At 46.8% G+C, this 25,580-nt stretch overlaps 1 protein-coding gene across 60 annotated transcripts in view; it reads left to right on the forward strand.

Annotated features, from left to right (window-relative positions):
* Positions 1 to 25,580, forward strand: part of ZNF544 (zinc finger protein 544) — a 48,542-nt gene that overhangs the window by 2,047 nt on the left and 20,915 nt on the right. For 21 of the 60 annotated variants that reach the window (NM_001387419.1, NM_001387400.1, NM_001387398.1 and 18 more), the window contains 3 exons: positions 13,005 to 13,096; positions 15,341 to 15,467; positions 15,751 to 15,834. In NM_001387419.1, coding sequence (NP_001374348.1) covers positions 13,064 to 13,096; positions 15,341 to 15,467; positions 15,751 to 15,834 — 244 coding nt within the window. In that variant the 5' untranslated portion in view covers positions 13,005 to 13,063. Of the gene's footprint in view, positions 1 to 6,288; positions 6,375 to 11,002; positions 11,349 to 13,004; positions 13,097 to 14,826; positions 14,910 to 15,340; positions 15,468 to 15,750; positions 16,082 to 16,321; positions 20,196 to 25,580 lie in introns of those variants that run through there. The other 39 variants (NM_001387421.1, NM_001387428.1, NM_001387435.1 and 36 more) reach the window with 15 other exon arrangements.

Consider the following 25,580-nt stretch of genomic DNA (forward strand, 5'->3'; position numbering starts at 1 on the left):
ACAGTGGTGGGAGGGGACTGAAGTAGGGTGTGAGAGCATGAGCTCGCAGCTGTAAGGGGATAGTGACTGAGTGGATACTGGTGTTCCTGAACTCCTATACCACCCAGAACTCAGAAACTAGCAGGGTTGGGCAGAGAGGGCAGTCAAGGGCATAGGCAGATTGCACAGAACAAACAGATCAGAGAGGCCAAGAGGTGGGCCTCAGGCCAAGGATGTTAAGAAAAAGAACAGGGGCATTGGGCTGGGCTGGGGTGGGGTGTACCAGACGGGGAGGCTGGGAGCCTGAGTGGTAGTGTGCTTAGGGCCATGAGCTATGGAGCTCCCACCTTCTCACTCCCCAGCCACGAGGCCTCAGTTAAATTTTACTCAAGTTCTTTCTGCCTTGGTTTCCTCATTTAGAAAGCAGGGTAAATTCTGTTAATTGTCTTTGTGGGGTTACAAGGAAGATCAAATGCATGAATTCAGGCAGAGGACAGGGTACAGTGCCTGGCCTGTAGGAAGTACAGCCTGAGTGGTCAGTGGATTTTGAAAGGTAGGAAGGCCTGGGGCATTTGCTAGGGAAGGAAGCTGAGATCATAGGCCCCGGTGTGTTTTAATTCATGTCTTTATTATTTATTTTTTTATAAATGGGGTCTCACATGTTGCCCAGGCTTGTCTCGAACTTCTAGCCTCAAGAGAGCCTCCTGCCTTGGCCTCACAAAGTGCTGGGATTATATGTCTTTAATACAGAGCAGCTTTGTACATTTTTCAGCCATGTAGTTTATTTTATTGTGAACTATCTGTTTGTGACTGTCACCTCTCTTTTTCGTAGGTCTCTATTTTCATTAAAGAAGCTTAAATATTTTGTCAAGTTCAAAAAATAGTCCTGGTGTGTTTTTTGTTTTGTTTTGTTTTTTTCTTGAGACAAGGTCTTGCTCTGTCACCTAGGCTGGAATGGTGGCATGACCTCGGCTCACTGCAGTCTCCGCCTCCTGGGTTCAAGCGATTCTTGTGCCTCAGCCTCCCAAGTTACTGGGATTACAGATGTGTGCCGCCACGCCCAGCTAATTTTTTTTTTTTTTAGTATAGACAGGGTTTCTCCATGTTGTCCAGGCTGGTCTTGAACTTGAAAACTAATACAAAATATAATATGTAATGCCAGAAATAAGACTAGTTCTCACAGTAAATGTGATGGGTAGAACTCTGTTTTAGTAGACACTTTGAAATTGAACTGAAAATAAAAAGTTAAAGATACGCTCTACTTAGAAGAGTCAGATGATCCAGGCTTTGACAAACAGGTGGTGGGATGAGCATAGATCCATCAGTGAAAACAAATAAGGAAATGGGTGGCAAGATAATATCAGATAAAGTAGACCTTTAGTGCAACAGCATTAAGACAATTTTATCTTTTTTTTTTTTTTTTTTTTTTTGAGACAGGGTCTCACTCTGTCACCCAGACTGGAGTGCAGTGATGCCATCACAGCTCACTGCAGCCTTGACCTCCCGGCTCAAGTGATCCTCCCACCTCAGCCTTCTCAGTAGCTGGGACTACAAGTGTACACCACTACACCCAGCTAACTTTTTGATTTTTTTGTAGAGACTTGGTCTCACTTAGTTGTCCAAGCTAGTCTCCAACTTCTAGGCTCAAGCAGTCTTCCTGCTTTGACCTCTGTATTAGTCTGTTCTCATGCTAATAAAGACATATCCGGGCCGGGCGCGGTGGCTCACGCCTGTAATCCCAGCACTTTGGGAGGCCGAGGCGGCCGGATCACAAGGTCAGGAGATTGAGACCATCCTGGCTAACATGGGGAAACCCCGTCTCTACTAAAAAAAAAAAAAAAAAAAAAAATACAAAAAATTAGCTGGGCGTGATGGCGGGAGCCTGTAGTCCCAGCTACTCTGGAGGCTGAGGCAGGAGAATGGCATGAACCTGGGAGGCGGAGCTTGCAGTGAGCCGAGATCGTGCCACTGCACTCCAGCCTGGGCGACAGAGAGAGACTCCATCTCAAAAAAAAAAAAAAAAAAAAAAAGACATACCCAAGACTGGGTAATTTATAAAGGAAAGAGGTTTAATTGACTCACAGTTCCACATAGCTGGGGAGGTCTCACAATCATGGCGGAAGGCGAAGGAGAAGCAAAGTCACACCTTGCATGGCAGCAGGCAAGAGGGTGTGTGCAGGGGAGCTCCTCTTTGTAAAAGCGTCAGATCTCGTGAAACTGTCATAAGAACAGCAAGGAAAAGACCTGCCCCCATGACTCAGTTACCTTCCACTGAGTCCCTCCCACAACATGACACGTGGGAATTATGGGAGCTACAATTCAAGAGGAGATATAGGTGGGGACACTGCCAACCACATCAGCCTCCAAAAGTGCTGGGATTACAGGCATGATTACAGGATTAAGGCCTGGCCTTATCACCTCTTTAGTGATAAAAGGCTATAGGAACAAGATACATTAATCTTGAATGTTTATGGACCAGACACCATAGCATAGATATAAAGCAAAAATTGTGTACTTAAAGGAAATATGAGAAGGACTATATGAGAAACTTCAACACATGTCTTAGAATTTGATCAGGAAGACAAAATAGAGTATAATAAATTATTTTAAGTATGGTGTCAAGGTAGGTTATAGATTTATCTACACACTTCTGTCTGTAATATATTCTGCCCACAGAAAATTTAAAGACCCAGATTTTCTTCTGTGTACACAAGGCCCCTCCTATATTAGATCTGTAAATCATTGAATTCCCTTGGTCCTGAGTCCTGTTCCCTCTCTGTAACTTGATTGTTCCTGTTTAGTTTAAGTGCTGCTGAGTCTCATGGACTTAAATATCTTTACTGTGGTGCCCCAGTATCTTCTCTGGGCTTCAGGCTGGCAAACGTAACTGCCTGTGTAACATTCCCACTTGGAAATTGTGTCCAGCCTTAACATGTCTTGATTCCCCTCCTCCTACTTGTTCACTCTGGGAAAAGATATAAACTTTCCCAAGTTCTTGAATCTAGAAAGAGATGTCATTATTTAGCCTCCACTCCCAATTCTATTGCATAACTGATTATACTTCCAATGTAAAGAATGAATCTGCCCACTTCTCTCCATTTTGCTGTCCCTTGAGTCCTGGCCTTTGGTGATAGCCACTTCTTCTCCTCATTCCACCTTTACTCCCCACAGTCCACTCTCCAGCCTGCCAACATCTACATAAGCCCAGCAATGCCTTCTCTCTCTCTGAGATAGAATCTAAACTTGTATGGGACTTTCTCTAGCTGTGGCCCTTGCCTTTCTCTATGCTCAGGTCACGGGATGGGCCAGGGTCGTTCCAGTCTCTGGGGTGAGGTTTCCAATCTGCCTCAGCTTCTGCCTGTGCATTGGGGTGCCTCCCTTCCCTTAACCTCATCTTGTGGGCCTAGAACTGTTGTCTTTCCTTGATCCCATGCTGACTGCACTTCATTGTTGTTGCCTGTTTGCTCATGTGGCCTCCCTGCTACCTGGGAAAAGGCCCCACAGGCCAGGGTTGTGCCCTTGCTGGGTCTGGGTCCCACTTACATCCCTGGCCTGGAGCCTGGCACTTGGAGTGAGCCCAGAGTTAATCATCGTTGATGGTGACACTGCTGCTTTTCCTCTCTTACTGTGTTAGGATAGCTCAAGGAGCAGTTCTTCCCTTTGCCTGTGTACCTGCGTGCAGCATTCTGCGAGCTGTCTGGCAATTCTGCTTTTGAATATTTAACCTAAACATACACATGCAGAAAGGGAGGCATGTATGAAAGCAAGAGTGGCCATTATAGGGCTGATGTGAGGGTGAAATTTGGAAAACTCCTAAATATTCAGAAACATTAAACTCTTTAAAGCTGGGACTATTAATAAACTACAGTCCATTCATCAAATTCAGCTATTACAGTGATTACAGCTATTACAAAAATTGTTTATTGGCATTGGGAGATACTTTACAATGCTAAGTTTCAAAAGAGTGTTTACATTATAATCACATTTTTCTAGAAATGCATTATGGTGATTAGTGAACATGTGTGTATTGACACAGGAAGATTTCTCTCTCTTTTTGTTGTTTTTTGTTTGTTTGTTTTAAGGAAGATTTCTCAAAGGACATGCAGTTACCAGTCCATAATAATGGGGATATGTTCCGAAATGTGTCGTTAGGTGACTTTGTTGTGTGAACATCATCAGTGTGCTTACACAGACCTACATGGTTATAGTCTAATACACATACAAGTTATGTGGTACAGCCTCTTGCTGCTAGGCTGCAAAGCTACACAGCGTGTTATTGTAGTGAATACTATTGGCAACTATAACACAATGGTGAGAATTTGTATATGTAAATATATCTAAACATAGAAAAGGTACGGTAAAAATATGGTATAAAAGATAAAAAATGGCCCACCTGTATAGGGTAGCTCCATTGTAATCATATGGGACCACTATCATATCTGCGGTCTGTCACTGACCAGAACGTCATTATGGGGCACATGACGGTAGGCACAAAATAGTAACAGTGGCTGTCTCTTAAGATGTTGGATTATTTATTATTGTTACTTTTAGCTATTTACATCTTTGACTTTTTATGCAATTAACCTAAAATGTGTGTGATTTATACATCGTGGTGGCTATAGTTAATAATCTCTTATATGCTTGAAAATTGCTAAGAAAGTAAAATATTCCCACCACAAAAAAGTATGTGAATGCATATGTTAATTACCTCAATTTAGCCATTCTATAGTGCATATGTATTTCTAAATATATTGTACATGACAAATATATACAGTTTGTATTTGTCAATTAAAAAATAAATTAACTTTAAAATTTGTGTGATTAAAAAACAACTTCATAGGCCGGGCTTGATGGCTCATGCCTGTAATCTCAGCACTTTGGGAGGCTGAGGCAGGTGGATCACTTGAGGTCGGGAGTTTGAGACCAGCCTGACCAACATGGAGAAACCCTGTCTCTACTAGAAATACAAAATTAGCCAGACATGGTGGCACATGCCTGTAATCCCAGCTACTCGGGAGGCTGAGGCAGGAGAATCGCTTGAACCCAGGAGGTGGAGGTTGCAGTGAGCCGAGATCATGCCATTGCACTCCAGCCTGGGTAACAAGAGTGAAACTCTGTCTCAAAAAAAAAACAAAAAAACAACTTCATGTCTGGGCATAGTGGCTCATGCCTGTAATCCCAGCACTTTGGGAGGCCAAGGCAGGTGGATTGCTTGAGCCCAAGAGTTTGAGACCAGCCTGGGCAACATGATGAAACCCCATCTCTATTTTGAAAACAGAAACAGCCAGGCACGGTGACTCACGCAATGCTAGCACTTTGGGAGGCCGAGGCGGGCAGATCACCTGAGGTCGGGAGTTCAAGACCAGCCTAACCAACATGGAGAAACCCCGTCTCTGCTTAAAATACAAAATTAGCCAGGGTGGTGGCGCATACCTGTAATCCCAGCTACTCGGAGGCTGAGGCAGGAGAATCGCTTGAACCCTGGAGGCGGAGGTTGCAGTGAGCCGAGATCGCTTGGCGCCATTGCACTCCAGCCTGGGCAACAAGAGTGAAACTGTGTCTCAAAAAAAAAAAAAAAGAAAGAAAACAGAAACAAACAAACAAAAAGCCATCATTTTGAGATATATACTTATAGGAAGCTGCAAAATAGTACAGAGTATCTTGTGTGCCCTTCACCCAGCTTTTCCAGAGAGTGACATCTTTCACAAGCCAGACATTGACATCGATACATATTGTTACTTAGACTGTAGACCTTATTTAGCATTTTTAAGCCTCCATTTGTGTGTATGTATCATTCTGTGAAACTTTTTTTTTTTTTTTAAGACAGAGTCTCTCTCCATTGCCCAGGCTGGAGTGCAGTGGCGGGATCTCAGCTCACTGCAACCTCCATTCCCCGGGTTCAAACAATTCTCGTGCCTCAGCCTCCCAAGTAGCTGAGACTACAGGTGCGCGCCACCATGCCCAGCTAATTTTTTGTATTTTTAGTAGACAGGGTTTCACCATGTTAACCAGGCTGGTCTTGATCTCCTGACCTCAAGTGATCCACACGCCTCGGCCTTCCTAAGTGCTGGGATTACGGAAGTGAGCCACCACACCTGGCCTCATTCTATGAAACTTTTTACCTTTTTTTTTTTTTTTTTCCCCACATAGGGTTTTACTCTGTCACCCAGGCTGGAGTGCAGCGGTGTGATCTTGGCTCACTGCAGCGTCTGTTCCCAGGCTCCAGCAATCTTCCCGCCTCAGCCTCCCAGGTAGCTGGGACTACAGGTGTGCGCCACCACACCTGGCTAATTTTTGTATTTTTTGTAGAGACGGGGTTTTGCCATGTTGCCTAGGCTTGTCTTGATCTCCTCGGCTCAAGCAGTCCGCCTGCCTCTGCTGCCCAGAGTTTACAGGTATGAGCCACCACGCCTGGCCTCAAGCTTCTGTTCATCTTAAGCCAACAATTTTGTGGAAATTGGTTACAGGGGCCACAAGACACTGAGCCGCTCCAGGCCGGCAGCTTGCTGGTCCTGGCAGCCTCTGCGAGTGCTGTGGCTCTGATTTCATCTTGGGGCCTAGTGTTAGGCACAGCCTGGCCTGGAGGGCGGCTCACCTCACGGGCTGACGGAGCCAGACCCTTGCCCCGCCAGCGGTCCGAGGGGCCCTTCCAGCTACAGGTAGGACCCTCACACCCACCTTCTTTTTGCTTTTTTTCCCCACTCATCCATGGAGACTTCCAAGCTGCTTTTTATCTTCCCTGTCTTCCTCATATTTTCCTTTTGTGTCTTAAATGCTGTTGGAGTGCAGCAGACACCCCAGTGTGTGACCTGTGCCAGAAGCCTGGAGCTTTGTTGGCATGGCCAGTATTCGGCATGGAGGCAGGGCCTGGGGAGGCAGCAAGGTGCGGAGCCACCCGAGGATAGAGAAGCCTGAAAATGCGTCTGGAGGTGGGGTGTTGTGGGGCCGGGGAGCTGGAAGGTGTTCCATGAGACTGACAGACGTCACAAGGTCTGTGGGGAGTGTCTGGAGATTTTTAAAACTTCTCTTGTTGCTCAGACTGGAGTGCAATGGCACGATCTCAGCTCACTGCAACCTCTGCCTCCTGGGTTCAAGTGATTCTCCTGCCTCAGCCTCCTGAGTAGCTGGGATTACAGACGTGCACCACCACGCCCGGCTAATTTTGTATTTTTGGTAGAGACGGGGTTTCACCATGTTGGTCAGGCTGGTCTTGAACTCCTGACCTCAGGTGATCCACCAGCCTTGGCCTCCCAGAGTGCTGGGATTACAGGTGTGAGTTACCACGCCTGGCTGAGATTTTTAATCTGGGAAGGGATATCTGGAGATTGTGGAGGAATTTGGGCTTTCTCCTAAGGGCAGCGAAAAGCTGGCACTCCACAGGGTTCTGTGACACAGGCTTCATTCTGTGGTGTCCCTGCGGCTTCCTGGGAGAGAGGAGAAAAGTCAAAGGCAGGACCCCATCAAACCCACCGTGGTAACCCGCACAAGAAACAGTGGCTGAGCCAGGCATGGGGCAGGCTTGTGGAGCGGTGCATAGTGCCTGGAAGACGGGGACACAGGGTTTTGGCTGAATGTGAGGAGAGCACGCAGGAGGCGTCAGGAAGGACTTCCCCTCTCACTGCTCAGTACACGTGTGAGCATCGATGTCACAGGCTTCCAGGCAGAGGAGTGCGTACGTGAGGGTCTGCTGTGCGCTCAGTACAGAGTGGGTGTGGGTTTCTGGCTCAGGAGCCTCCCGTTGTTGTCACTTCTCCTCCTCTGTCTCTGGTCCTCCCACCTCCCTCATTGTAGGGATCATTGTGGTGACCCCAACAGTCTCCCCATCTAAAGATCCTCAACGTGGGTCTTTCCTTTCCATGTAGGGTCACATATTCACAGGTTGTAGGGATTAGGATATGGCCATCATTCAACCCACTAAGTCACGGTAAAAAAAAAAAAAAAATTACAATGCCCTGATCAGCATGCAAAGGGACAGGCAGAACAGGGAGGGGACACAGGACACAGGTTTGGTGGCATCAGGGTGAGTTTCTTCTCCTTGTGCAGGGGAGGCAAGAGTGTTCAGCATTTGCTGTTAGTGTGTCCTGACTGGCCTCTGAGTTCTCCTTCGCGTTCAGGAAGAGAAGGTGGTGAAAATAAACAGGGCTGGGTGCTCTGTGGCTGCAGGTTTTCTTCACATCTGCTGATGTGTGAGGTTGGCCTCAGGCTTAAGAGTCCTGTGCCTGACACAGGCTTGCCCGCAAGGTTCTTCCTCCCTGTAAAGCCATTTCTCAGCTCAGCACAGTCAGCATTTGGGGCCAGATCATCCTCTAGGGCTGCCCCATGAGCTGTAGAATGTTTTACACCTTCCTGGCCTCTGCCCACCAGATTGCAGCCAGTAGCTGTCCCCTTCTACACCTCTTCCCCCCTCCACTCCCACCAAACTCTGGAAACTGTCTTCAAACATGGCCAATGTTCCCGGAAAGCAAAACTGCCCCCAGTTGAGGACCTCTGCTGTGAAGAAATGGCCCACTTTTCTTGAAATTCCTGAAGGCCTGTTTCTTTAAGTAAGCCTGGTGTTCACTGTGTGCGGGTCCTTGAGACCATTCTCAGGTTGACCAGATGGACTCAGAACTCTGAAAAGCTCTTATATTCACAGTTACAGTTTAGTACATTGAAAAGATACAGATTAAAATTACAAGGCCAGGCATGGTGGCTCATGCCTATAATCCCAGCACTTTGGGAGGCCGGGGTGGGCGGATCGCCCGAGGTCAGGAGTTTGAGCCCAGCCTGGCCAACATGGTAAAACCCCGTCTTTACTAAAAATACAAAAATTAGCCAGGTGTGGTGGCTTGCACTTGTAGTCCCAGTTACTTGGGAGGCTGAGACAGGAGAATCGCTTGAACCCAGGAGACTGAGGTTGCAGTGACCCAAGATTGCGCCACTACACTCCAGCCTGGGCAACAGAGCAAGACTCCATCTCAAAAAAAAAAAAAAAATTACAGTGGTCAAAGGCACGCATGTAAACGGGAGTCCGGGAGAGACCAGGACCAGCATTCAGCTCATTCAGCTCCCAGTGGAGTTGCGTAGACAGTGCTTAATTCTCCAAACGACCATGTGGACCAGGAAGCTCACCCAAGCCTTGGTGCTTAGGTTTCTTTATTGAGGGATGTGTTATGTAGGCATGGAGCCTATATAAATTACTTTGGTTACTCAGGCCCTCCAGAGATCCCCCTAATACACCATGGCCCAGTGCCCCTGGCAGGCAGAGACATTTTAACAGGCGGGATATCCCAAGGGCTCAGAGGTTACAGCCAGTCAAGGATCAGACCTTTCTTTTTCTTTCTTTTTTTTTTTTTGGAGACAGAGTTTTGCTCTGTCGCCCAGGCTGGAGTGCAGTGGCCTGATCTCTGCTCACTGCAAGCTCCGCCTCCCGGGTTCACGCCATTCTCCTGCCTCAACTTCCCGAGTAGCTGGCACTACAGGCACCCACCACCACGCCCGTCTAATTTTTTGTATTTTTAGTAGAGATGGGGTTTCATCATGTTAGCCAGGATGGTCTCTATCTCCTGACCTCGTGATCTGCACACCTCAGCCTCCCAAAGTGCTGGGATTATAGGCATGACTTGAGGTCAGGAGTTTGAGACCAGCCTGGACAACATCCTGAAACCCCGCTTCTGCTTAAAAAATACAAAAATTAGCTGGGCATTGTGATGCGCGCCTGTGATCCCAGCTACTCAAGAGGCTGAGGCAGGAGAATCGCTTGAACCTGGGAGGCGGAGGTTGCAGTGAGCTGAGATCGTGCTACCACACTCCAGCCTGGGCAACAGAGTGAAACTCCATCTCAAAAAAAAAAAGAAAGTACAGGGTGTGGACAACCCAGGCTTACTAAACCAGCCCTGCACATTCCCTGTAATGTGTGTGTGATGTGGCAGTGTGAACATTCCAGTATCATGGAATGATGGGTTTAGCATTTACCTTTTTGGGGTAGGGGTCATTTTTTTCTTTTTCTTTTTCTCCTTCTGTTTCTCTTTCTCCTTCTCTTTTCTTTTCTTTTTGTTATTGTTGTTGTTTGAGACAGGGTCTCATTCTGTCACCGAGGCTGGAGTGTGGTGGCACGATCACTACTCACTGCAATCTCAACCTCCTGGGCTCAAGCAATCATCCTGCCTCAGTCTCTCAAGAACTTGGGACCACAGGCATGCACCACCATGGCCAGCCAATTTAAAATATATATATATATTTAAATATATATATATATATATTTTTTTTTTTTTGTAGAGATAGGGTCTCACTGTGTTGCCCAGGCAGTTCTCGAACTCCTGGGCTCAAACGATGCTTCCGCCTTGGCCTCCCAAAATGTTGGGATTACAGGCGTGAGCCAATGTGCCTGGCCCACTTTGTTCTTTTGAGTAAGTTTAATGTTGGGAGTCAGGTAAATGTGTACATACACCAACTCTGTCTTGCAAGTTGAATATTTTGTCATAACTTATGTTATACTTTAAACCTTTTTTGGTAGGGTGTGAATGCCTCCTCCCCAAACTTGTCATCTGATAGCAATTCTAATCATTCACATTCCATTTCTTTTTTTTTTTTTTTGAGGTGGAGTCTCGCTCTGTCACCCAGGCTGGAGTGCAGTAGTGCGATCTCAGCTCACTGCAAGCTCCGCCTCCTGGGTTCACGCTATTTTCCTGCTTCGGCCTCCTGAGTAGCTGGGACTACAGGCGCCCGCCACCACACCGGCTAATTTTTTTGTATTTTTTAGTAGAGACAGGGTTTCACCGTGTTAGCCAAGATGGTCTCGACCTCCTGACCTCGTGATCCGCCCGCCTCGGCCTCCCAAAGTGCTGGGATTATAGGCATGAGCCACCACGCCCAGCCTACATTCCATGTCTTTTGTGTATGTTGGTGCCTTGTCTGTCCTCCCCCTGGCACTGAGGTCGCATGCAGTTCTTGGCATTGCGTTGTCTTTGTCTTCTGTTTCAGCACTGAATTTGCTGTTCACTTCTCTCTCTCTCTCTCTCTCTCTTTGTGCTTGTTCTTGGAGGACTTGAGTGCTTGATTTGCCTGAAGAATGTTATGTGTCTGTTCAGAAGAGAGATTAGGACCTGCGAAGCTCATGCCTAGAGGGGAGAGTATTCCTGCAGAATTCAGCGTAGGAAAGGAGGCCTCAGGCACCAGAAGTGTTTGAGAGCAGGAGAGTTCTCAGAAGAGATTGCCTGGGAAATGAGAGCATCGCTGGGGTGAAGTCCCAGCAGCTGCGAGTGTTGAGGCTGCTGTGAGGTGGCCCATGCTTAGGCTCTGTGTTCCTGGCCAGAGTGAGTCCCCAGCACCGCAACATCTGCAGGAGATGATGCTGGTGGAAGAGGTTTCCCAAGCCTTTGAAGGGAAAGGTGAGAACTGCCTAAAAAATACAGCACAGAGAAAGCAAGATTTCTGCAATTCATGGCTTGATACTTGATATTCCAGGGAATTTTTTTTTTTTTGTCTGAGACTATGGGGCAAGAAAAATGCCAGCGTTCAAACCTGGGAGAATGATAAGTGTTCAGCGTCTGCAGGGGCTGCCTTTATCTGCTCTTCTAGCCCAAATGGGAGTTGTTTCGCTTTTTTTTTTTTGAGACAGGGTCTTGCTCTGTTGCCCAGGCTGGAGTCCAGTGGTGTGATCTCAGCTCACTGCAACCTTGACCTCTAGGGCTCATGCGATCATCTCATCTCAGCCCCTACCCCCACCAGTTGCTGGGACCTCAGACCATGCCCGGCTAACGTTTTGTGTTTTCTTTGTTTTGTTTTGTTTTGTTTTGAGACAATGTCTTACCCTGTTGCCCAGGCTGGAGTGCAGGGGTGCAATCTCGGCTCACTAAAACTTCCCGCCCCCCGGGTTCAAGGGATTCTCCTGCCTCAGCCTTCTGGGTAGCTGGGATTGCAGGCACACGTCACCATGCCTGGCTAATTTTTGTATTTTTAGTAGAGACGGTTTCACCATCTTGGCCAGGCTGGTCTTGAACTCCTGACCTTGTGATCTGCCCGCCTCAGCCTCCCAAAGTGCTGGGATTACACGCGTGAGCCACCGCACCTGGCTGGCTAACGTTTTTATAGAGAGGGGGGTCTCACTTTGTTGCCTAGGCTGGTCTTGAACTCTTGGACTCAAGCAGTCTGCCTGCTTCAGCCTCCCAAAGTGTTGGGATTCCTGGCCTGAGCCACCATGCTGGCCTTTGGGGTCAGAGTTCAAGGCTCTTCATGAACTAGAAAGCATTGTGCAAATGAAAGGCACCATCAGGTCGAGTGAGCGTAGTCATATGAGCAAAGGCAGAGATACAGGATGCGCTTCTGGAATGTTCAGTGGTCTCGAGTAACCTGTTGGTGCCTGCAGAGGGTGTGCTTCAGTGCCGATGTGGCGATGGGAGTCAGATGTGTGGAAGGGTTTGGTGCCACATTCAAGAGGGTTTTTGCCAAACTCTCGGTAGGACAGTGATGTGACTGCTGCAAGGGGATTAGACAAGCAGAAGATATGAAGGGTTTGGTGACTGAGTTCAGTAGAGAGGGTGACAGGCATGCCCTGGCAGTAGGCAGCATCCTGGTACTTCCAGCTGAGACCGAGGGAGGGCATCCCTGTACAACACCCCCTCCCAGAGCCGAGGGAAGTTCCCTGCGCCGCCCTGCTGGGGAGTGTCACATCCTCCTTGTCCCCACACCCCCATTGTCATCATTTCTGAAAACAGCTTATGATCCATTGTGATATGCTAAATGTACAATTACTTAGACACCTGGCCTCCACCTCCCTTCCTTAGTCACGAAATGATAGGAAAAATGCCCCTCCTTGCCCTTGACTGTTGAGGGGGCTGCTGCGTGTCTGGACTCACAGCTGAGACGCCCAGCACATGACTGGGCACATCCCCGAGCCTGAGGTAGCCCAGGTCCCCAGGCGTGAGGCCCATTCCCGCACCTGGGAAGCCCTGCTTGTGGCCGGCCCCGCGTTCTCTAGGGTGGGTGTTGGCCCTGGAGGTTTGCAGGAGCCGAGGGGCTGAATCTCTGCTTGTTTTCCACCCCAGACTGGTCTTCTGAGGACCTCTGCCCTCTACACAGCGGCCTCTTCAGGTGCAGGGAGGAAATGGAAGCACGTTCTATGCTGGTTCCACCCCAGGTGAGTGGGGGGTCTTTGCTCTCAGTGCCTTGGTCTCCATAGATGTAAAATGGGTCCAGGAATAGCACCCGCCCCTGCAGGCTGTCACACAGGAGCGCTCCGCAGTGCTGGCCAGTGCTTCCCAGTGAAATGCTCCAGCTCCCTGCAGTAAAGCGCGGCACCCGTCACCAGCATGGACGAGCCTAGAGCTCCCTGCACTAGACCCAGCGCAAGTCTCCCATGCCTGTTCCACCAGGCCAGGTCTGTGCTTCCGACATTCTGCTTGTGGTTGCTCCTCAGGCCCTTGAGGGTGGATGGAGCTAGCCCCACACCCCGACAGCCACACTGGGCCCTCAATCCTCACGGACACCCCTGGCTGGGGGAGTGTCCCCTTAAAGCACTGTAGTTACCTACCTGCAGAGTCCCCTGTAAATGGTGAGGGCCCTCTCTTCCTGGCTTGCAGACAGCCGTTGTCCGACTGTGTCTTTATGTAGTGAGGAGAGAGAGTGAGAGCACACATGCCCTTTAGTGTCTTTTCCTCTTCTTATTTTATTTTTTGACGTAGGATCTCCCTCTATTGCCCAGGCTGGAGTGCAGCGGCATGATCTTGGCTCACAGCAGCCTTGAACTCCTGGGCTCAAGCGATCCTCCCACCTCAGCCTCTCCAGTATCTGGGACTACAGGCATGCACCAGCATGCTTGACTAATTTATTATATTTTTAGTGGGGACAGGGTTTTGCCATGTTGCTCAGGCTGGTCTCAAACTCCTGGACTCAAGAGATGCTTCAGCCTCGGCCTCCCAAAGTGCTGGAATCACAGGCGTGAGCCACCATGCGCAGCCTCTTCCTCTTCTTATAAGGACTCTAGTCCTATTGGATTAGGGTCCCACCCTTGTGACTTCATTTAATCTTAATCACCATTTTTTTTTTTTGAAACGGAGTCTCGCTCTGTTGCCCAGGCTGGAGTGCAGTGGCACAATCTCAGCTCACTGCAACTCCGCCTCCTGGTTTCAAGCAATTCTCCTGCCTCGGCCTCCCAAGTAGCTGGGATTACAGGTGCCCGCCACCACACCCAGCTAATTTTTTGTAGAGATGGGATTTCACCATGTTGGCCAGGCTGGTTTCGAACTCCTGACCTCAAGTAATCCACCCATCTCGGCCTCCCAAAGTGTTGGGATTACAGGCATGAACCACCGCGCCCGACCCCCTGTCACCTTCTTGAACAGTTCTTAAACAGTTAAAATTAATCACCTTGTTTGTGGGGTTTTTTTTTTTTTTTTCTTTTGAGATGGAGTCTCACCCTGTCACCCAGGCTGGAGTACAATGGCGCGATCTCAGCTCACTGCAACCTCTGCCTCCAGGTTCAAGCGATTCTCCTGCTGCAGCCAGGAAGAGTAGCTGGGATTACAGGCATGTGCCACCATGCCTGGCTAATTTTTGTATTTTTAGTAGAGACGGGGTTTCACCATGTTGGCCAGGCTGGTCTCGAACTCCTGACCTTGTGATCTGCCCGCCTCGGCCTCCCAAAGTGCTGGGATTACAGGCGTGAGCCACCGTGCCCGGTCAATCACCTTCTTCAACAGTCACTTTGGGAGTTAGGGTTCAACATGTGAATTTTGGGAACACAGTTTATTCTATAGCATTAGCCTTTTGAAAACACACCACAGCCCTGATTTGTCCTACAGGCTGCAGTTTTCCCACCCCGATTTAGAGTGTCTTTCTTACCTCATTTCGAATCTGTGATTTTTGTAGAGAGGAAGTGGGTGAGGATCTCCTAGTGGAGTTCCTGTCATTTCCAGTCTAGAAATCAGGACCACTGCTGTGACTGGCAAGAGGTGAGATGCCCAGAAAAGGAATGGTACAGACCACATACATGGAGCTGTCCCAGTCCGTTTGGGTTGCTATAATAAGATACCTTAGAGTGAGCAATTTACAAACAACAGAATTGACTGCTCATAGTTCTGGAGGCTGGTAAGTCCAAGATCAATGTGTCAACAGAGTTGGTCTGGTTGGGGCCTGCTGTCTCATAGATGGCACCTCTTACATGTCCTCATATGGTAGAAGGTGAACACAGGCTCCCTCAAGCCTCTTTTATGAGGACATTAATTGCCTTGTAAAGACCCCACCTCTTAACACTATCTCACTGGGTATTAGGTTCCAATGTATGAATTTTACGGGGGGACACCAACATTTAGGCCTTAACAGGTACCTCCGTGAGGGCATGAGGACCTGGGGTCTCTGAGCAGTAACAAGTGCCCTGTTTCAGGCATCTGTGTGCTTCGAGGATGTGGCTATGGCATTCACACAGGAGGAGTGGGAACAGCTGGACCTGGCCCAGAGGACACTGTACCGAGAGGTGACACTGGAGACCTGGGAGCATATTGTCTCCCTGGGTAAGTGGCTGTGCTCATGGAAGGAGGTTCTACCCCTAGGACTCAAAGCTGTACCAAGTTCTGAAGGGTGTTCTGGGATGTGCTGGAAGATACTGGAAGCAGGTCCCTTTCAGGTGCAGTTCCCAGGGGTTGCCCTTCATTCTATCTCTGGGACAGGTTTGTGACTTGTAGTCCTAACAGTGGGGAGTTTCCTCGGGACAGCACTAGGGGCTGAAGCTTGGACCCAGGACATGGTTCTTGGTGTCCAAGCAGAGGGGCAAGTCCTTTTTCCGTCTTTGACCAGGGCTTTTCCTTTCCAAATCTGATGTGATCTCTCAGCTGGAGCAAGAAGAGGACCTGTGCAGGGCAGAGCAGGAGGCCCCCCGAGGTAAGAGCAGACCTTGTGGTGAGCAGCTCAACGTTTAACAAGCTTGGACAGAGAGCTCTCCGCAGGGCCCCAGGGGCCAAGGAGGGAGCCTTGTTTGGAGGAAGCCTCCTTGGGTGCTCTTTGCAGCAGTTCACCCATTCAAAGGAGTTCACCAATTCGAAGTATGCAGTTCATGGCTTCCAGTGTCTTCCCTGAGTGTGGAACCCTCACCACAATCAGTTCTAGAACATGTTCATCATCCCAACCATTTAGGCCTCTTTACTTGATTTGTTTTTTTTTAATTAATGTATGTATTTATTTATTTATTTTGAGATAGGGTTTTACTCTGTTGCCCAGGCTGAAGTGCAGTGGCGCTGTCTTGGCTCACTATAGCCCCCATCTCCCTGGCTCAAGCAATTCTCATGCGTCAGCCTCCCTAGTAGCTTGGACTACAGGTGCACACTGCCACACCTGGCTAATTCTTTTGTTTTTGTTTTTGTTTTTTAAGACGGAGTTTCGCTCTTGTTGCCCAGACTGGAGTGCAATGGCACAATCTCGGCTCACCACAACCTCCACCTCCCAGGTTCAAGTGATTCTCCTGCCTCAGCCTCCCAAGTAGCTGGGATTACAGGCATGTCCACCATGCCCGGCTAATTTTTTGTATTTTTAGTGGAGACAGAGTTTCACCGTGTTAGCCAGGATGGTCTTGATCTCCTGACCTCATGATCCGCCCGCCTCAGCCTCCCAAAGTGCTGAGATTACAGGTGTGAGCCATCACGCCTGGCCCTAATTTTGTATTTTTATTAGAGGTGGGGTTTCTCCATGTTGGTCAGGCTGGTCTCGAACTCCCGACCTCAGGTGATCCACCTGCCTCAGCCTCCCAAAGTGCCGGGATTACAGGTATGAGCCACTGCACCTGGCCATTAATTTTTGTATTTTTAATGGAGATAGGGTTTCATCATGTTGCCCAGGCTAATAGACTTTATTTTTTAGAGCAGTTTTAGGTTTATAGGTAAGTTGACGAGAAAGTGCAGAGTTCCCACCCATGTCTGCTGTCCTACAGACACATGCAGTGTCTCCTGCTGTTAACAACTTGGATTTGTATTGTACATCTGTTACAATCGGCAAACCTATCTTGAGGCATCCTTTTTTTTTTTCCCAGACAGAGTCTCACTCTGTCACCAGGCTGGCGTACAGTGGTGTGATCTCAGCTCACTGCAACCTCCGCCCCCCAGGTTCAAGTGATTTTCCTGCCTCAACCTCCCAACTAACTGGGACTACAGGCACGCACCACCACGCCCAGCTAATTTTTGTATTTTTAGTAGAGTCAGAGTTTCACCATGTTGGCCAGGATGGTCTCGATCTCCTGACCTCATGATGCGCCCCCCTCAGCCTCCCAAAGTGCTGGGATTACAGGCGTGAGCCACTACCCCTTGCCCTTGAGGCATCATTATCACCCAAAGTCCATAGTTTATGATAGGGTTCATGCTTTTTTTTTTCTTTTTTTTTTTTTTTTTTTGAGACAGTGATGCAGTCATAGCTTAAGCCTTCTGGGCTTAAGTGATCCTCCCACCTCTCTGCACCCCAGCCTCAGGTGCCACAGCATGCACCACCATGCCTGGCTAATGTAAAAATTTTTTGTAGAGATGGAGTGTCACTGTGTTGCCCAGGCTTGTCTTGAACTCCTGGGCTCAAGTGATCCTCCCACCTCAGCCTCCCAAAGTGCTGGGATTACATGTATGAGCCACTGCACCTGGCCAGGCTTCACTCCTGATGTTGTATATTCTGTGCATTTGGACAAATGTACAATGTCATGTATCCACCATTATAGTATCAGACAGAGTAGTTCCACTACCCTAAATATTCTCTGTGCTCTACCCATTCATCCCTCCCTCATCCCCAGCCCCTGGTGTTACTGGTGGAGGATGTGCAGGTTCTTGGCATTTTGAACAAAGAATTGGACAAAATGCATAAAACAATGAAAGAATGAAGCAAAAAAAGCATAGATTTATCAAAATGAAAGTACACTCCACACAATGGGAGTGGTCTGGAGCAAGCAGCTCAAGAGCACTGGTTACAGAATTTTCTGGGGTTTAAATCCCGAGAGGTTTCCCATTGGTTACTTGGTTTATATCCTCTGTAAATGAAGTAGTGGCCCATAACTAGTCTGATTGGTTGGGGAAGGTGACCAACAGAGGCTGAAGTGAAGTTACAAAGTTACACCTCTATGCAGATGAAAACTAGGCCAGTGACCAGTCTCATTGGTTGCAGGAAGAGGTACTTTCCATTTTTCATCTGCGACACAGAAGGCGGGGGTTGCCTCTGATCCTTTTGTTATTTGGGGCATGGAAAGTTTGGGTTTTCCTTTTGATTCAGTTCCAGGAAGTCAGCATTAATCACCCTTAGGTTTCTTGCCTCCATACCCTGTTCTCATACCTCATTTCCCCCCGAAAGACATGATCCTCATAAATCTTTATGGGAGGTAAAGGGATTGATAGTCTTTCTTCTGTAACTGCTTTATGCTGACCTGAGGCACAGTCCCTACGTACTGGGGAATCACAGGACTCTCTCCCCGCCCTGTCTAGTGGAGACAGGATAGCTTCTTGATGGCCAGGGGTGGTGTCTCCACCTGGAACTGGCTGGAAACATTGTCACATGATCATCTGAAGCTTGATGGTCTCTAGGTGACAGGAAATGAATTTGGTTAAGAGTTTAACAAACATGGTCCAAAAACCAAGGCAAGTATAGTCATTACTAATGGGCTGGCCAGAGGAAGGAGCCATGAACCCCAACTTAGCATTTTTGACCAGGAGCCCCATGACTCAGATAGCTGTTGTTGTATTTTAGAGGCCCAGTTGGGTAGTTTTTGGGTGGCATTTGTTACTAATCCTCATTGTTCGGCATAAAAACAGCATTCTTCCTCTAGAAAAAGACCTAAGCCCCCCTTTACAGCAGTTAGGAGATCTCATCCCCTTCTGTTTTGCCAAGCAACTGCTGCTGAGGCATCTATTTGATTTCGTATGGTGATGATACTTTGGCCAATGTCTCTATTTTTTCTTTTTTACTTTGGGCAATGTCATTCAAGCTTTCCATAAAATCCTTGGAAAAGCATTGGTAATAGGATAGGGATGTTACAACCCGGCTGACTCCCATTCCCAGTCCCGCGGTTATTTGTAGTCCTACCAAAAGGGATGTGAGTTGGATGGTTCATTTGTGTCTGGCAATTGCAGTTAAAGGTATAATGAGGGATTGGTTCTTGGGAGCTATATTAATTTCACAGGCTAAATAAACAAGTGTAAAGGTTCTAGTCCAATTGGCTGGTAAACATAAGTAAGAACTAGTTCCACACAGGTAAAAGGCTCCTAGTTTTTCAAGACAAGAATTTTCTATGGTAAACATGTGGGTTAGCTTGTTGTTTTCACTTTCCCAAGTGGTTAAGGTCCCTATGAAGGTGGCCCCAGTTAAAGGCTGGAAAGGACCTTGGGAAATATTCTGAGTTGCCCCAGCAGTTCTGTTTTCCCATTGGAGGTAATTAGGCTTAGTGTCTACCAACAAGCATCCAGAGGTGTTTCGTACTGGGGAACCAAAAGATAACTAGATGTCTGAGGATTAGTGCAGTCTTCCCAAGGGAAAATATGATCATAGCTAGTGGGCTTACCTTGGCAGTACTTAGACTGTGTATCCTTTGAAGTGTCCTTATCTAGGGATGGTTTCCATGAAAACCATACAGGTTTTCTAAATGACACAGTCTGGGTAACTGCCTAGCTTATGTAATCATGTGAGGGGTTAATAATCTCTAGGGTGTAGTTACACTGATGACTTTTCAAGGTTCCCAGGGCCTGACCAAAATTTTGGCTTCTCTTAATACAAAGTGGCACCTGGAATTTTAGCTCTGTGTACATTGATATTGGGCCCCAAATGGGTTTCTGTGGGATGCAACCCCAGAAAGGGTACTCTGATAGTACTGGAGAAGGTTTACTGCTTGTCCTGTCATCGTAGTTCATGTTTTTTTCCCCAAGGCCAAAGATTGGGCTGGGATTGGGGTGGTAGTGTATTTGAATGATGCTGGAGATAACCAAAGCCAACAGTCTTTGCCAGAGCTGGGCTGGTGGTATTTAACTGTCTTTGAGTTAAATGTAAAGTTTTTAATAAATACCCAGAATCCATTAACTGCTGGAGGGGTAAAGTGAAGCTCTGTTGTAAAATAAAGCTGATTCCCATTATGCGTGGTCCTGTATACACAGGCTGTGGGTGACCATTATGGAACCAAAAAATACTTATTTGTTATTTTGTGCTATAGAATAGGAACTTCAGGGGTGGATACCTATGCTGTCAGGAATGCTTGTTATAAGAATTAATTAAAACACTTTGCTTAATTATTACAAAGGAAGTTATTCCATTTGTTTAGAAGAAAGCAATTAAATTGTAGAAGTATAACAATGGCTACTATTATCCAGTTTAAAGTAACTAAGCAACAAAGACACCAAGGAAAGTTGGTAGGCTTTTACTTATCTTTTGGCTGTCTTTTAAACAGGTACTTCAGGTCTTTCACAAGTCACAGGTGTAGTGGCTGATGGGAGCTTCAGGTTCCCGGTCTGGGACTTCACATAACACAGGCTTGACACCAGAAAGATGTATCCAACTATCTAATCCTAGTACTTTGACCCCAGAAGGCATGGCCAGTACTGAAAATGGTCCCTTCCACTTTGATTGTAATTATTGAGCAGGTGATCCCTCCTTCTATGTTTTAACAGGTACCTTGTCTGTTGGCCTGATTTTGGGTTGGTGGTTAGTTCCTGGTGTGGGGAGCTTTTGAGTTCCAAACTCTTGTAAAGCCTGCTGAAATAATCCCAGGTTAACTAGGTATTTTACTAAACTGGATGTTTCTGGATCAGAGATTAGATCATTAGTTAAAAATGGCCTTTTGTATAACATTTGTGTGGGCTCATAATAATTTTTTCTCTAGGGGAATTATGGATTCTTAAGAGGGCTATGGGCAGTAAGCAGATCCAAGTTTCTGATGTTTCCTGACATAGGAACTCCTATTTTAGAGTTAGCTAAGCTCTTTCCACTTTTTTGGAGGATTGAGGTCTCCATGCTGAATGTAAATAATAGTTGATTCTGAGAACCTTAGCAACCCCTTGAGTTATTTGGGAGACAAAAGATGGGCTGTTATCACTTTGGAGGCTTTGAGGTAACCCAAACCAGGGGATTATTTCCTTTAAGAGAACCTTTATAACTTCATTAAACTTCTCTGTTCTGGTAGGGTACACTTCAACCCAGCCAATAAAGGTGTCTGTTAGTACTGGCAGAAACTTTTATCCTTTGCAAGCTGGCATATCAGTGAGGTCTAATTGCCAGTCTTCCCCTTTAACTTTAGCCAATATATTCACACACAGAATCCCTTCTACAATTAATTTTTCATAAACCTTCTACAGCTTGTCTTTTAACCCTCCAAACTTTGGCAAGAAATCCATATTCTCATGCCTTTTACCAAAAGTACATTCTACTTTTTTTACATGAATCCTTTTCACGACTTACACAGACCTTCTATGACATGCCTGGACTTTCTGACTTGTCCTAAACATCCCTCTTTAAACAACCATTCATTTAACTTTAGGGCAAGAATTTACCATACAGGATCCTGTCTCATACAAAATTATTATTGCTACATCCTTCCCTACCAAGAATACATCTTCATATACATAACTTTCTTCACCTCTCTCTCCCGTACTTACTGGTTTCTTACTACCTTGTTTCATAAATAACCCTTTTTTTTAAGTCAACAACCTGAATCAACCTTTAGACAACCTCTGAACTACACAAAATCATTTCTTTCTTACCAATAGCACATCTTTTTTGGCACCTTTTGTATACAGAATCATTTGTTAACTAGAATTCTTATCCTTAGTAACCTTAAATTTTAGTGAAACCCTAAAAAGCAAGAAATCCTGAACTATTAGATATGAGCATTTTATAGATGAGAAGAATTCCACAACTTTTAGAAACATATTTCCCCGTATCATAATCCTTCCTTTTTATTTACTTATTATCATTATGTTTTTGAGACGGAGTCTTGCTCTGTCACCAGGCTAGAGTGCAGTGGCACAATCTCGGCTCACTGCAACCTCTGACTCCCTGGTTCAAGCAATTCTCCAGCCTCAACCTCCCGAGTAGCTGGGATTACAGGCACGTGCCGCCACACCCAGCTCACTTTTATATTTTTAGTAGAGACAGGGTTTCACCATGTTGGCCAGGATGGGCTCGATTTCCTGACCTTGTGATCCACCCACCTTGGCCTCCCAAAGTGCTGGGATTATAGGCGTGAGCCACCGCACCCAACCCATAATCCTTTCTTAATTGGAAATGACCCAGATATCCAATGAACATCAAAAACAATTTTAAGATTTTAAGTTACACAAAGAGTTTACCTAAAACATTTATCCCAATTTCATTTACTCAATTCTTTCATTTTAACATTTTATCTAGATTACTTCTGAAAACTAAGATAGTAGACACCATCCTCTAAAGTTATTTCCTTGTTAGCCATTTTTTTATTACCAATGAATATCATTTGCTCACTGAAAAAAAGCCTCAAAGTTAAATACACAGGTATTTTTGCCAATAACTCAGAAGATTCAGCTAACAACATTAAATTAGTCTGATTTGTTTATTTATTTTTTGAGACAGAGCCTTGCTCTTTTGCCCAGGCTGGAGTACAGAGGCACAATCTCAGCTCACTGCAACCTTCATCTCCTGGGTTCAAGTGATTCTCCTGCATCAGCCTCCTGAGTAGCTGGGACAACAGGCATGCACCACCACATCCAGTTAATTTTTTTTATTTTTAGTAGAGATGGGTTTTCACTGTGTTAGCCAAGCTGGTCTCGAACTCCTGACCTCGGGTGATCTGCCCACCTTGGCCTCCCAAAGTGCTGGGATTGCAGGCACTAGCCACCATGCCCGGCCAAACTAGTCTCATTTGTCAAAGAAAGCATACAAACCAGGACCATTTTTTGTTTTGGCTGGGTTAATACCTTTATAACCTTCTGTGCCAAACACTGACACCTTAAAATATCTTGCAAAGACAAATATAAAACCATATATGTTGACAATTCTGAAGACATTTCTATTTTCATTTTACCAATAATTTTAAAGCCAACTTCTTTAGTAAAGATTTACTTAAGTCGGCTGGGTGCGGTGGCTCACGCCTGTAATCCCAGGCAGGCGGATCACGAGGTCAGGAGATCAAGACCATCCTGGCTAACATGGTGAAACCCCATCTCTACTAAAAATACAAAAAATTAGCCAGGCCTGGTGGCGGGCACCTGTAGTCCCAGCTACTTGAGAGGCTGAGGCAGGAGAATGGCGTGAACCCGGGAGGCATAGCTTGCAGTAAGCTGATATCACGACACTGCACTCCAGCCTGGGTGACAGAACGAGACTCCATCTCAAAAAAAAAAAGGAACAGCAGCACAAATGCCTGGATACATGCAACTCCATCTCACTTTCCCATTCAACAGCAAACTCCAGATTCCAAACAATGTTGGGGCCAAACAGTATTGCAAAAGAATATCAAGTGTTTCCTCCTTAGATTATCAGGGTCAAATTTATTCCAGTCGTTGAGGATGCAGCCAAGCAGGGAGTCAGATGGAATAGATGGAGTGTTTCCTATTATTGTCTGTAAGAGAGAAAATCCTAGGGAGGGTGTAGTACTATTCCTCAGAACCTCAGCCTAGGGTGTCCCCTTTGGAGAGGTTGAGGTCTGGAGTTGGATCCCCTAGAGGATCCCCCTTTGGGGTCCAATCTTAGAGTGTCAGACATCTCTGACTTTAGGTGGGCACCAGTGCTGCTTTATATGTTTTCCCTCCAGTGGCGATGGTCTACTGTGAGCTTTCCTTTGGTTCCTGGGCGTAATCCCAGACTTTTAGTATCCCACTAATTTCAGTGTGATGTATCTTCCTGCATTCCTCACAGGACTAAGGAGGTTCTGAAACATTGCAGAGTTAATAGTACCAAGGTTGGTGGGGTATTCTCTGTGAAGGAAGGATCCAGCGGTATGTGAAAGACTGAGATTGAGAATTTCTTTCTTTCTTTTTTTTTTTTTTTTCTTGAGACAGAGTTTTTCTTTTTTTGAGATGGAGTCTCACTCTGTCGCCCAGGCTGGAGTGCAGTGGCGCGATCTCGGCTCACTGCAAGCTCCGCCTCCCGGGTTCACGCCATTCTCCTGCCTCAGCCTCCTGAGTAGCTGGGACTACAGGCGCCCGCCACCACGCACGGCTAATTTTTTGTACTTTTTAGTAGAGATGGGGTTTCACCATGTTAGCCAGGATGGTCTCGATCTCCTGACCTCGTGATCTACCCGCCTCAGCCTCCCAAAGTGCTGGGATTACAGGTGTGAGCCACAGCGCCCAGCCTTAGACGGAGTTTTGGTCTTGTTGCCCAGGCTGGCTGGAGTGCAGTGGCATGATCTCGGGTCACTGCAACCTCCGCCTCCCGAGTTCAAGCAGTTCTCCTGCCTCAGCCTCCTGAGTAGCTGGGGATTACAGGCGTGTGCCACCATGCCCAGCCAATTTTTTTGTATTTTTAGTAGAGCTGTGGTTTCACCATGTTGGCCAGGCTGGTCTCAAACTCCTGACCTCAGGTGATCCACCCGCCTTGGCCTCCCAAAGTGCAGAGATTACAGGTGTGAGCCACTGCACCTGGCTGGGGTTGAGAATTTCTGTGAGATTCAGGGAAAGCAAATTGATGCAGAAGCAATGACCGTCAACCTATGGGATCCCCTCAGTGAAGTCTGAGATGTAGAATGTCTACTGAAGCTTGTGGATCCCAAAGGTCTTCAGACAGTCAAATCGAGTAAGAGAAGGTAAGTCAAATGCATGAGATACATTATCTTTTGCCCTTACAGGCTGACTTTAAGGAGAATTTTGCATAAGAAAAGAGGATTTAAGTCACCTGAAATATGCGTGAGTTCGCCCTGGATGAGCTGCCGCTGCCAGTTGCATCACAGATAGGGATCAGGGACTGTAACTGGAAAATAGAGAAAAGAGTCTTTTCCCCTTCTGGGCAGGGCAGCTATCCCCATTTACGCCTTGGCCTTCAGGCAACACCAGAGGGTGGCCCTGGCCAGCTGCCCTCAGTTACCAAGGAACTAGTAGGAAACGGCAGCTGAAAGATTTTCTGAAAAAGAGAAAAAGGAAAAGGACTAAGGTCCTTCACCCGAACTGGGTGGTAGCGGTCAGGCACTTCCACACAGAAATCTTTCCGTTTCACCAGAGAGTGGCTCCGGCCAGAAACTTACAGTTGCTTGCATGCTTATGTGCTGTCCACCAAGGATCCGTAAGTTGGAAAGGGAAAAAGAGAGAGAGAAAAGGATTCCCCTATATGGAAAAGGGAAAACAAAAAGAGAAAAGAAAGAAATCCCAAACCTCGAGCCTACCTCCTGGCTGGCTCACCAAAATATGTTACCAGTGGAGGGTGTCTATGTTCTTGGCATTGTGTTCTTTTACTTTTTTTTTTTTGAGATGGAGTCTTGTTGTACCCAAGCGAGTTAAAAATACGCCACACTTTGAGACGAATTAAGAGTCCTTAATTAAGCCGGCGGCCAAAGAGACGGCTAATGCTCAAAATTCTCTCGGCCTCGAGGAAGGGGCTTGATTAACTTTTATACCTAGGTTTAGGAAGGGGAGAGGGACTCAAATGCAATAAGTCTACAGAAGTAAAAACATGCAAGAATCAACAGAAGCAAAATGGTTACAGAGAGATAAACA

This window comes from Homo sapiens, chromosome 19 (assembly GCF_000001405.40).
Source record: "Homo sapiens chromosome 19, GRCh38.p14 Primary Assembly".
NCBI classification, from domain to species: domain Eukaryota; kingdom Metazoa; phylum Chordata; class Mammalia; order Primates; family Hominidae; genus Homo; species Homo sapiens.